General features: G+C 41.4%; 1 long non-coding RNA gene across 1 annotated transcript, besides 1 other annotated feature; it reads left to right on the top strand.

Moving 5' to 3' along the window:
* The first annotated feature begins 700 nt into the window (after nt 1-700).
* LOC105373134 (uncharacterized) lies at nt 701-9,983 on the top strand. Its single transcript, XR_001755798.2, has 3 exons — nt 701-3,254; nt 7,737-7,935; nt 9,884-9,983. It is a non-coding gene; the product is annotated as an uncharacterized LOC105373134 (long non-coding RNA).
* Nucleotides 12,691-13,290: an enhancer, noted in NCBI's record as "OCT4-NANOG hESC enhancer chrX:13170505-13171104 (GRCh37/hg19 assembly coordinates)". NCBI's record gives its function as "activates a minimal SCP1, AML or CMV promoter by ChIP-STARR-seq in primed H9 embryonic stem cells {active_cell/tissue: H9 hESC(primed)}" and the evidence as "EXISTENCE:reporter gene assay evidence [ECO:0000049][PMID:30033119]".

Raw genomic sequence — 13,817 nt, 5'->3', positions numbered from 1 at the left:
TCATTAACCCACAGCTGAGCAAACACTGTAGTTAGAATACCCTCTACAAGGAATATATGTGGCTCATTAGGCCTCCAGGAACCTGGTACATAAATCTTAAAATCTTACTCCTAAATACGGTTAGGAAACACTTTCAGTTTTACATGAATAATATCAGATTTCTGTGATTCATTAATTGAATATTTATTTTCTCTCTACAATGTGCCATTCACTGTGCCAAGTCTTACTCAATGTTAATTTCCCTGTAATAACAGCACAGTTCCTAGCACATATCAGAGATAAAAAGACGTGTTTAAAAATTTAAAATAGCTGATGTTTCAGTCTCTGAAACCAAACAAAATTAAACACAAATGTCATAAACTCTAGAGAAGTTTAAAAAAATACAGTTCATACTTCTCAGAGATTCCTACAATCCCACCTAAATGTTTCCAAGGCTCTAAAATGAATTTTCCAGAACATGCTGGGTAACATATTTTTCCCAGTATAAGTAGCCTTCTTTCATCTGGATTTTAAAACAAACTAGATCCCAGTATCACTAAAACCTTTATTTTCCTGTTTTCACATTCTTTGGAGTCAAAGCTTATTTTTATTATTTCATGACTTTGTAGTAGCTGAGATATATATCATATACAGTATTTTAGCCTTCAGAGTACTAAAAGGAATTTTGTTAAGTAATTCGTAGATAAAACGATGAGCTAAGTTATCTTACTAGCTAAATGATTAACACATCAAAACAGCTAGTTTCCCAGAGCTAAAAGAAAGGGTTTGGATTTGTGTTGGTAGCTGTTTGCAATTCAAATTAGTTTGTCAAGTGGTTTCAGATTCTTCAATCAGGGTCCTGAAGTTAACCTGGGGACACTGAGTGAAGGCTGTAATTGCAAAGATGTTTTCACATGGGTGAATTGGAAGCCCTATGGATGAAAAGCAAACGACGGAATAGGGCCCTGGATTGCTTGGCTGAATGGAAGGGAAAATGAAACAGTGAGTCGGTTGTCATTTTCTCTCAAGCGAGGCAAAGTCACTGAAGGGATCAGAGAAAGGTTTAAATGTGGAACGATCAATCTTAGATGTGATCTGGACTTCAGTTGAGTGGAATTTCTTGAATCCTTGATGTGAATGAGGAATGCGGAGGAGCCCATGCAAAAGCAGATTTACTGGAAAGGAGAACTGGAAATTTCAAGGGGTTTGTGTTTGTCATTGTCAACCCTTTTAGCAAATAACATTGATCATTAGGGTGGGTGTTATTGTTGTTGTTGTTTAAGAACGTACGAGAATTTGTAAAATGCAGAGAAGCAAAAGTTGGAAAACTAAAATTGCTTGCCACCAGAGATCAACTACAGCACTTAGGCCTATTTCCTTCTTACCTTCTTTCTTTCTTCCTTCCCTCCCTCCTTCCTCCCCTCTTTCCTTCCTTCTTTCCCATCCATTTATCCATCATCTACCTAGCTCTTTTTATATAGCTATTTCTTTATTATTATTATATCGTTATATATCTTTGTCATTTGTTATATAAAGTTTGCATTGTTGCTGCTTTTAAAATGTTTTGACCTGTAATCTTTAACTTGCAACCTTTAAGCCAGGGGGTCTTCTGGCTTTGTTAGGCAGGGTGGCTCATGGGAATTCATGGCCTCTTATTCTGGTAAAAACTTCCTTGCAATCAAGAATGTGGTGTTTTTTCTTGGTTTAAAACAAACAGAAACAAAATCACACAGAACTAGAAGAGTTTGCACTAAACATATATTTTTAAATTTCTGCCTGCAAAATTATGTTCCACTGCCTCCTCTTTGCTCAGTTTCCCCCTTATATCCCTCCAGATGTAGCCTCTGGAGTTCCTTGAGTCTCTGAGAGATTGTTTCATAGGGCAGGATCAGAAATGACTTGTCAAGATCCCTGCAGAAGCATCTAGAAAGATGGGTAATTTATAATTAAAACAATAAGTAATGGCGGTTAACATCTTGCAAGGTGTTATATATTTAATTTTTTTTTTTAACAGTCTCTTTTTACATTCATGAACTCAGCCAGGAGTGGTAGAAAGATAGTTTGGATTGTGAGTCAAGGTGCCTTGAGTTCTAGTCCTAGTTTTTTCTCAACTATTACCTTCTAAAAGCACTTAAATTCTCTGTGCCTCCATTTTCCTATATATAGAAGGAAGTGGGAGGGTTTGATGGTTAGCGGGCCAGATGCTTGCTGAGATCATTTCCAGGTCAGCAACCGCACTGTATTATGAAGGTTTTGGTGGCCCCATATTGGATGGGCATTATTTCCATTAACTACCAGTGAACAGTGCATTTGCCATGGGTACACGCTTAGATGGAACCTGATAATATACTAATTTGGTGAGGTTGGGGGTTGGGAGGCAGGGGAATCCAAGGTCTGATTTCCCCCAAGCAAAGTCTGCTAATGTTGTTCCTCTATGCTGCTTCTAGTTTTTTTGGATAAGCTAAGTGAATAGGGGTGTGTGCATATAGATATGCAGGATAATTTATCACACACATACTTCATTGGGGAACTGGCACCAGTTGGTACTTCCTGAGCAGCTCCAGTCAGTGCTTTCAGAGAAGAAAAAAAACTAACTTGTGCAGATGCCTTTACATGTATTATTCCACCTAATTCTCACAGCATCCCTTCAGGGTAGATCCCCTGTTTTGTAGATGTACACACTAGGGTTCAGAGTGATTGAGTAACTTGTTCAAAATGTGAACACGGATCCATAGGACTCTAGGGCCAAAGTACATTTCAGAGGACTCCACTTTGACTCACTCTACTGAGGCAGAGGGAAAAGAAGAAAATAAGGGGAAGAGGAGCAGGTGAAGAAGTGGACTAAAGGAGTTTCCTCTGCATGGTGCTGTCGCAGAACTACTCTTACAGATAGTGCAGCGCAGGTGTGGGTCAACAAGCTCCTTTCCTATGCTCCTTTGCCACGTTCTATTGCCTTTCTTTTGGGATTATCAGGTTTCCCAGGGCTCCCAGGCTTTCCTATCCCTCCCACTAGCACCCCATCCTGATGAGCCATTACCAATATTTCATGTTCTAGAATCATCTCGTCTTCTGATTCCTGCAATAGAAGCTTCCTTTTCTCTATATGGTGGATTCAGCTAAGTGGAAAGCAATCTGACTGAGTGGATCTATATGAGAATGTGAATGCCTAAAAGGTTCTCATTATTAAGAAGGATGTTGATATGTGAAAATCTGACAAATGCCATTGCAAACAGAAACTGGGTGAAGAAAACAAAAATTCAGGCTGTTGGGAGAAGGTGAGATATTTGGGGACTGAGAAATGTCAGGAGCCAGTCAGTAGGAAGTGGAGTGGATGTTCCAGCTACAATTCCATGGCAACAGGGGGATCTGAAAAGGAATCTCAAAGGTCCCTAATAAGTAAGGGGTTCCTGTGTAGGAGAGCATCTGTGTATTAAAAATAAGGCTGATCCCAAGCTGAAACAAAAAACAAGCAAATTGTGATATTGTGATGTATATTTGGTCTTTGACCCTGTTTCCTGGCATACAAATCCTAAAATCCTTAGAAATTCCAAAGTGTTGTCTTTTTGTACCCTAATGAGTTGACTGATAGCAGGCAGCCCCTAGGCAGCTTCAGGATGGGGGTTTGTCACCCAGAAAGACTAACTTTTAGCACCACTCCCAACCTCCAGGGAAGGGAGAGGAGATGTTGAGTGTATCACCAATGGCCAATGGTTTGATCAATCACGCCTAAGTAATAAAGCCTCTAGAAAAACCCAAGAAGACAGGATTCAGAGAGCTTCCAGATAGCTGACCACGTAGAGGTTCCTGGAGGGTGGTGCCCAGGGAGGGTATCAAAGCTCTGCACCCCTTCCCTCATACCACGCCCTACACATCTCTTCATCTGTATCCTGTGTAACATCTTTTATAATACATGAGTAAACATAAGTGTTTTTCTGAGTTCTGTGAGCCACTCCAGCAAATTAATTGAACCCAAGAAAGGGGGATTGTGGGCAACCTGATTATAGCCAGTCGGTCAGAAGCACAAGAAAAATAACCTGCAGCTTTTAATTGGTATCAGAAGTGGGGGTGGGGGCAGTCTTGGGGACTGAGCCCTCAACCTGTGGGATCTGACACTCTCTGGGTAGAGAGTGTCAGAACTGAATTAGAGGACATGCAGCTGATCTGCTCCTTGATGTGTAGAGAAATGCCCCACCCCCCCACCCGCCACACACACACACACACACACACACACACACACACACACACACACATATTTGGTCACAGAAGTTTTCTGCATTGTTGTTGAGTGAGGAAAAGTAAAAGCGCTTGGAGTGTGTGTGTGTGTGTGTGTGTGTGTGTGTGTGTGTTTCCACGTTCAGACAAATGAAAGGTGGAGCAGTGGTGAGAGAGAGCAGACAGTCCATTGAATTTGGACCCACAAAGGCCCCCTGCAAGAGCTGCTGGTGTTTGCTCCCAAATTGCAGAGTACATGAAGACAATGTGTTTCCTGCTTTCCAGGGCATAGGTTAGTACTCATGGCCCTGGGCCTGGGCATTCAGCCACATCTGTTGGCCCTGCCACGTACTCAGGGGTGGGAGGGGAAAGCAACTTCTGGGAATGGCTTCCTGTTCCCTGCTCCTGGAGCTAAGTCCAAGAAAAGAAAAAGAAACCAATTTCACCTTTTCCTCTAAACGTCATTGTTATTGACACAACCGTCTGCAATGATCAATTAAGCAAATCTGAAGACTCAAATGCTTTTATGCTTCTTATTTAAAAGTTGCTTAGAATTTATTCCCTAATTCCAGATGAGTTACCAAAAGAGAACGTTTAAGTGACTTCTCCAAGATCACTGGACAAGGGGGTGGGTCCAACCCCTACATACGTAGCACATACAACTGGCCTGATTGGAGGGACCATCCAAGAATCTTCCTCCTCCATATTCTCACACAACTCTCTGCCCCTTTGCAAGTGCCTACACTTTCCAGAATTGAGAGTCATTCCTCAGTGTCTTGAGAGTCCCTTTATTCAAGTCCAAATCCTAGGGCAGGAATTGCACTTGAGCTTTTATCAACAATTTACCTAGTGGAACCTTCTGCCTCATACCTCTTTCTGAGACAGATGTCTGGAAGCCAGGCCTTCTGGGGATAAGGCAGGAATGGGATGCTTCACCCTATTGTGGGAGAAGAGAAGACTGGAGATGGGAATTTGCCAAAAACAAACCTTGTTAGGGGCCTGTGCTGCTTCCAGCTGGATAGCTATCCCACACTGCAGCTTTATTAATTAATCTTCCTCTTGGGAGTGTGTTTTAAGTACCAAGCAATAAAATAGTCTGGGAGTTGACATGTTTAATTAAATTGAGGTTTATTTCAACTTATTTACTATCTTCACTGATTCTTTTACCTATCTCTGGTCCCCAAACATAAGCAGCCCCAAGGACTGGCCCTGGCTCCTTTTTTCTATACACTGTTAATTTGGATCACTCTCACTCTTTCAGGTTTAAGAATCACAATTGGGAGGCCATACCTCCCAAGTTTGTCACTAATTCAGGAGCCAACAAACTTTCTCTGTAAAGGGCCAGATAGTAAATTTGTCAGGCTTTGCAGGCCATGCAATCTATTGCAACCACTCAACTCTCCTATTGCAGCATGAAATCAGCCAAAGACCATATGTCAATGAATGGGCATGGCTGTGTTCCAATAAACTTTATGAACATTGAGATTTCAATTTCATGTAATTTTCACTTGTCACAATATATTATTCTTTGGATTTTTTTTTTCCCAACCACTTGACAGTGTGAAAACTATTCTCTAGCTCATGGACCTTAGAAAAGCAGGCAGTCAACCTCTGTTCTGACCAATACCTTTCTCCAAGTTCCAGGCCTCCTGCTCTCAAAAATGCCCTCAGACTTGAAGTTTCTAATATGAAAATTGCTCTGTCTTTTACCCACCCCACAAAACAGCTGTTCTTCTTGACTTCTTTGTCTTAGGATACCAGAATTCTCCCAGAGTCCCAGCTGGAACTCCAAGGGTTTCCTTGGTTTCCACTTGTCATCCCTTATGCCAAACCAGTACCCCAATCCCATTGCTGACCCACATGCAATGCATCCAGCATCTGTCTCTCTCTCTCCTGTCCTCAAAGTTCTGTATATCCAAATTAATTTTCCTAAAGCAAGATTTTTATTAAAGAACACACTTCAAGGTCTCTACTGTTTCCTGCACACAGTAACCCAGCCTGCAGCACCCTGCACTTATATATATATGCAGTTTTCCCTTTGAGGGAGTTTTCTAGTTTCATCTTCCACTATTTTCCTACACAGATTTTCTGTGCAAACAAAAATGACTTGCCTTCAACAGGTGAAATTAACATGCTGGGGTCAGGCAGGGAGTTCCTACCTCTATGCCTTTCTTCTTGATCTTTTCTTCTGTGAAATCCTTTTCCTGCACCCCTGGACCTATCAAAAAGTTCATGACCAACCATACTGAGATACCACTTCACTTATACTAGGGTGGCTATCATAAAAAGACTGACAATAACAAGACTTGACAAGGATGTGGAGAAATTGGAACCCTCCTATGCTGTTAGTTGAAATGTAAAATAATACAGCTGCTTTGGAAAAACAATCTGGCAGTTCCTCAAAAGGTTAAACATAGAGTTACCATATGACCCAGCAATTCTACTCCTAGATATACACTAAAGCAAAATGAAAACATATGTCCACATAAAAACCTGTACACAAATATTAGTAGCATTATTCACAATAGCCAAAAAGTAAAAACATCCCAAATGTCTGACAACTGATGAATGGATAAACAAAATGTGGTCTATTTATACAATGAGATATTATTAGTACAAAAAATGGAGCTGGGCACGGTGGCTCACACTTGTAATCCCAGCACTTTGGGAGGCCGAGCTGGTCGGATCATGCGGTCAGGAGATGGAGACCATCCTGGCTAACATGGTGAAACCCCATCTCTACTAAAAATACAAAAAATTAGCTGTGTGTGATGGCACGCGCCTGTAATCCTAGCTACTCGGGAGGCTGAGGTAGGAGAATTGCTTGAACCCGGGAGGCAGAGGTTGCAGTGAGCCAAGATCATGCCACTGCACTCCAGCCTGGGCAACAGAGACTCTATCTCAAAGAAGAAGAAAAAGAAAAATGGAATGAAGTTTTGATACATGCTATAATATGGATGGACCTTGACACCATTATGCTAAGGAAAAGATGTCAGACACAAATCCCCACATGTCATATGATCCTATTACTATGAAATGTCCAGAACAGAAAAAACTATAGAACTTGAAAGTAGATTTGTGATGGGCTGGGGTGGGAGTGAGGGGTCAAGAGAAAATGGGAGTGACTGCTAATGAGTAGAAGGTTTATTTTAAGGTTGATGAACTATTTGAAAATTGATTGTGGTGATGTTTGCACAACCCTGTGAATACACTAAAAATCATTGAATTGCAACTTTAAGTGAATTGTATGGCATATGAATTAAAACTCAATATATATTTTTAAAAGGCTCGTGGCCAAACCAGATCATTGTAATTTGACCTTTAAAAATATTATTTTTATTTTGTAACTATCTGTTTTATTCACTTGACATTATATTTTACTTTGTAATTTTTTTCTGCCTATATTTTAATTTTCCAACTACACTGTAAACTCATACTTTCATATACGTGTGGGTGTATGTATATAAATATGCTTGTGTTTGTTGATTTAATTCAGGAGACAATTCTGAGTAGTCAAAATAAAGTACAATAATTTAAATTACTAGAGCTGAAGACTATAGGATGTCAACTGTGGATACAACTCACAAGCTACCATATTGATGTGACATGATGAAGTGGGAAGGAAAGCCATCTGGAGTTTCACTGGTGAATTGATACATCTTGCACTTAACATTGTGTATCCCCTGGACTTTGATCAAATGGACATGGGCTTTCTGATCTACTGCAGAGTGCCTGGAAATTCAGGTATTTAGTTATGCTTATTTTGCAGTTTCCGCATATATAATGGAGCCATGTATATTTTTAAAATTTATTTCTGACTTGAACAACTACTGATGAAGAACCTACTGTGTGCATGGCATTGGACTCAAAGATGATCTGAGTAAATTCAATAAGCAATAAATGACCATGCTAGTGTGGCTGTCAGCTTGCTGCATACTCAGCTTGTGGTACTCTACATTCCATTTGCTAACAGTTTTTCTAAATGCTTATATTTGGCACATGGGTTCTTTAAAAATATCAAAAAATACACTTGAAACTGTATATCATAGGTCTATATTCAACCATATTGAGTAGGTCAGCAAGAAATTAAGTATATGGAAACCAATACGATCCTGTTTGTGTTTAGCATTTTCTCTGGAGAGCATCCATGATCCATCCATGAATTATATCCAAGTAAATGTTGCCAACACAAGGGTTAAGTTACATTAATAGTAATCTAGGGCCCCAAGAGACTTTCTACCCAGGAATACTAGTCAGATTAAAGTGGCAGCAATATATTAAATTACTCTAAGGCTTGACTTTGGGGGAGTGCAGTCTAACACCATTTGTCTCTCAAGTGTCTCTATTTGAATTACCTAATTTTCAGTAGGTGAAATGAAAAGTCAAAGCTATAGGCAAAGCAGTACCCTTGAAAGGCCAGTTTTCCACAGATTGCTTTATACCCTCATTTTCAAGGTTACTAAGCCCACAGAGGGCCATCCAGGGCTCACCAAAGCTCACCAAAAGCCACAGTGTCCACCTACAAACATGGGACCATGGTTGTAGTTAGTAAAAAGCATCGTTGACTTGCTTGGAGTGTCCTCTCTTTGTATCTCCTCTGGGAACTCATAATAGTTGTGACCAAGGATTCAGAAATTGGAATCCTAGCCAATTGCACTGGCTTTGACTTAGAGACTCAGTTTCCTCTTTTTGCCATAACAAATTACCACATACTTAGTGGCTTACAACAGAATACATTTATTATCTTACAGTTCTGGAGGTCAAGCCTGAAATGGCTTTCACTAGGCTAAAATAAAGGTGTCAGCAGGTCTGGTTCCTTCTGGAGGCTCTAGGAGATAATCCATTTCCTTGCCCTTTTCAGTTTCTAAAGGCTGCTGGCATTTCTTGGTTTGTGGCCCCTTCCTCCATCTGCAAAGCATAACATCTTTCAATCCCCACTTCTTTCTTATAAGGACCCTTGTGATACATCAGGCCCACCACCAAGGTAATCCAGGATAATGTTCCCATCTCAATAACCTTAACCACATCTGCAAAGTCCAATTTCTCATGTAAAGCAACATATTCACAGGTTTCAGAGATTAAGATACGGTCATTTTTGGGGGCCTTTATTCTACCACAGAGACACAACAAAAAGGAAGACTCCTTGATTAGTGATCATCATCATCATCATCATCATCATCATCATCATCATCATGATGGAATCAAAGGAGATCATTTTGGAGCTTTAAGATTTGACTGCCCTGGCCGGGTGCGGTGGCTCATGCCTGTAATCCCAGCACTTTGGGAGGCTGAGGCTGGTGGATCACCTGAGGTCAGGAGTTTGAGACCAGCCTGACAAACATGGAGAAACCCCGTCTCTACTAAAAAAATTACAAATTAGCCAGGCTTGGTGGTGCATGCCTGTAATATCAGCTACTCAGGGGGCTGAGGCAGGAGAACTGCTTGAACCCAGGAGGCAGAGGTTGCGGTGAGCTGAGATTGTGCCATTGCACTCCAGCCTGGGCAACAAGAGAAAAACTCCATCTCAAAAAAAAAAAAAAAAAATGTGACTGCCCCACTGGGTTTCAGACTTGCATGGGGCCTGTAGACCCTTTGTTTTGGCCAATTTCTTCCATTTGGAATGGGAGCATTTATCCAATGCCTATACCCCCATTGTATCTAGGAAGTAACTAACTTGTTTTTGATTTTACAGGCTCCTAGGAGGAAGGAACTTGCATTATCTCAGGTGAGACTTTGGACTTGGACTTTTGGATTAATGCTGGAGTGATATAAGACTTTGGGGGACTGTTGGGAAGGCCTGATTGTGTTTTGAAATGTGAGAACATGAGATTTGAGAGGGTCCAGGGGTGGAATGATATGGTTTGGCTGTGACCCCACCCAAATCTCATCTTGAATTGTAATCCCGATAATCCCACCTGTTGAGAAGGGGCCTGGTAAATGATGGGATCATGGAGGCATTTTCCCCCATGCTGTTCTCATGATAGTGAGTTCTCAGGAGATCTGATGGTTTTATAAATGGCAGTTTCCCCTAAGCTTTTCTCTCTCTTCTGCTGCCTTGTGAAGAGGTACTTGCTTCTCCTTCACCTTCCATCATGATTGTAAGTTTCCTGAGGCCTCCCCAGCCATGTGGAACTGTGAGTCAATTAAACCTGTTTCCTTTATAAATAAGTCAGTCTCAGCTACTTCTTTATAGCAGTGTGAGAATGGAGTAATAAACCATCCATGACAATATTCTTTGATTTTTACCTGGTTCACTAATTTTAACTTAGTTATAATTTTAAATAATTATAAGTAAAGATCCTTCCTGATTTCCAGGTGATAAACTGGGGCACAGAATCGTTATTCAGTCCAGAAAGAGGAAGAAAAATAACCCAGGGGGATGCCAGTCTGAGGCAGCCACTTCCAGAGACTGTGGGCCAGCTCTGAGAAATGTCCAGATTAGATAAACTGTATCTGGAAAGATAATCTTGTCCCATGACTGCAACAGACCACTTGAATTTACCTGCCTGGTTTATTCAGATTTTATGCCTAGAAATCCCCGGAATACACCAGAAAATCCCAAGTTGTTCTGAGACTGAGTACCTAAAGTTGCTGGGTCAAGAGAGTATTTTTTTAAATGAAAGACACTTGAACATATCTCTATATTAAGTGGTAGAGGCAGAAGAGAGAAAGCAATTAAAGATAGAGGAGAAACAATAGCCACAAGCTAGAAACAACTCAACCATCATGAAAATGCTTAAACAAAAACTGCTGCATCCATACAATGGAATACAACTCAGTAATAAAAAGGCACAATCAACTGCTGCTACCCACAAAATGGATGACTTGTAAAATCATTATGCTGAGTAAAAAAGCCAGACACAAAACAGTACGTACTACATAAGTACACTTACGTGAAATTCTAGAAAATGCAAACTAATTTATAGTGACAGAAAGGAGATCAGTGGTTGTCTAAGGTTAGAAGCAGAGAGAAAGGAATGAACAGCAAAGAGGCACAAGGAAACTTTTGGAGGTGATGGAAATATTGTGTCTTGATTATGGCAGCGGTTTCATGGGTGTCAAAACTCAACAAATTGTATACTTTAAATGGATACCATTTACTGTACATAAATTATACTACAATAAAGCTGATTTACAAAAAGAGGGAAGCTTCTTGGGGGCCCCTGGACTGGATGAGGAACCCCTTTTCCACTGGGAAGGAAGGGAAGTACAATCACCTGATGGGTTCTTCTGGCCCGCTGCGCAGATAAAACCAATTCACTGAGATAGTGGTACTGCAGTAGAGAAAGAGTTTAATAATCACAGGGCCAGCTAAGTGGAAGAACAAGAGTTTAGTACTCAAATCAGCTTCCCCAAAAGCTTGGAGGGTAGGGTTTTTTCAAGGATATTTTGGCAGGCAGGGGGCTAGGGATTGGGTGTGCTGATTGGTTAGGAATGAAATTGTAGGGTTGTGGAAAACAATCCTTGTGCACTGACTCAGCCTCTGGGTGGGGGCCACGGGATTAGTTGAGTCATGAGTCATGGGTCGGGGTAGAGTCAGTTGGTTGCCATAATGCAAAAATCTGAAAACCATCTCAAAAGACCAATCTTAGGTTTTACACTAGTGATGTTATCTACGGGAGCAATTGGGGAAGTCACAAATCTTATAATTTCTGCCACATGACTCCTGAGTAGTAAGGGATTACAGAAGCAAGCTAGGAGGCTGGGCATGGTGGCTTACATCTGTAATTCCAACACTTTGGGAGGCTGAGGTGGGAGGATCTCTTGAACTCAGCAGTTCAAGGCCAGCCTGAGCAATATAGTGAGACCCTGTCTCTTTAAAAAATAAAAATAAAATAGAAAGCAAGTTAGGGAACAATGGCTGGTTATCGTTTACACCTACATCTCAGCAGAATTCAGGCCCCTCCCATAATCCTAATCTTGTGGCCCTTCATTAGTTTTACAAAGGTAGTTTTAGTCCCTGAACAAGGAGGGGTTCTGGGAGGAACTATTATCATCCTTGCTTCAATGTTAAACTGTAAACTAAATTCCTCCCACGGTTAGCTTGGCCTATGCCCAGGAATGAGCAAGAATAGCCAGATTGTGAGGCTAGAAGCAAGATGGAGCCAGCCATGCTAGACTTCTGTCACTGTCATGATGTTTGCAAAGGTGGTTTCAGAAGGAGGCCAAAGCAGAAATGGTCACAGATCCATTCATAGATGAGGAGGGGCTGCAGAGAGAAGAAAGTGGTTAGCCATGATACTCTTAATGTTTTCTTAGAATGTAATGGCCCAAGGGGTTCTTTCCTGCCCCCTACACAAAGAAAGACCATGGTATTGTAGCAAAGGAAGAGTTTAATAGACAGGCTGGCCACACCACATGGGAGATGGAGTTAGTACTCAAATCATTCTCCAAAGCTCACAAGTTAGGCGTTTCTCAAAGGCATCTTTGGGGGAAGGGGTGGGGGTGGCTAGGCTTGCAGCTGGTTGGTTGGTGCAGAGATGAAATCATAGCCAGTTGCACCTGTTCTCCTGTGTGCTGAATTGCTTCTGGGTGGGACCACAGGAGCAGAGTTGGAGGGTCCAGGTGGAGCCATGGGTGTCAGACATACAAAAAGCCTGAAAAGATATCTCAAAAGGCCAATCTTAAGTTCTACAATAGTGATGTTATTTGTAGGAGTAATTGGGGAAATTGCATATCTTATAACCTCTGGAATAATGGCTGGCAATTGTTCATGTTTGCATCTTAGCAGAACCCAGGCTGCTCTCCTCCCCGCAGCCTGATGGCCTTCCATTAGCGTTACAAAAGCGATTGAGTTTTACGGGAGGCTTTTTATCATTTAAACTGCAGCCTAAATGTCTCTCAAAATCAGCTTGGCCCAAAAGCCCAGGAATAATTAAAGGAAAGGCAAACTGTGGGGTGGGTTAGCTCAGCTCACCGTTACAACTTTTCTCGCAAAGGCAATTTCAAGAAGCTCCCTGCATTACTGCCCACAGCAACGAGTCTCCTTTTAACATGCAGATTCACGTCGATCATAACGAGCTCAACTTGCATCTGAAGACTGGAGACTCTCACTGACACATCTTAACCCACAATGTGTACTATCCAGGCAGAATATTTGCAAGGTCTACCCTTCTCCTTTTAAATCAAAATTCAGCCCACCTTCAGCTTGGTATTCCTGCCACACAGAGCCCCTGAGAGCTTCAGCAGAGAACTGGCTGATGTGTTCTGAGTGTTGTTTTCTTTGATTCCTTGTGAGTGGCATTTTCTTTTATTTCTTCCTGTGTCTCTTTAATTACTGGCAGCTCCAGAAGCAATGAGAAGCTGGGAGGAAAGACTTCGTCAGAAAGCTTCAGGCTGAGAGGAGAGCTTGAAAGATAGGGATCTGCCAGCACCTCTGTGGTTATCGACTCTTTCATGTAACCACTTACCAGAGTATATCAGACAGTATTTTGCAGTAACGAAGACAGAGCCATAGCAACCAGACTACAAAGAGAAGCCCAGGGTTCTGGAAATGGCTCCAAGTCTCTGAAGAGATGTTAGCATTTCACAGCTTCCATTTCTTTTTGTGTTTGTTTCCTTTTGGTAGCCACTGGAGACAAGCCGTGTTTTCTTTACACACCCCAAAACTAGGGAAATTTTTATTT

Source organism: Homo sapiens, chromosome X (assembly GCF_000001405.40).
Source record: "Homo sapiens chromosome X, GRCh38.p14 Primary Assembly".
NCBI classification, from domain to species: Eukaryota; Metazoa; Chordata; class Mammalia; order Primates; family Hominidae; genus Homo; species Homo sapiens.
The sequence above is the reverse complement of the archived record's forward strand: the minus strand, read 5'-3'. Positions and strand labels throughout refer to the sequence as shown.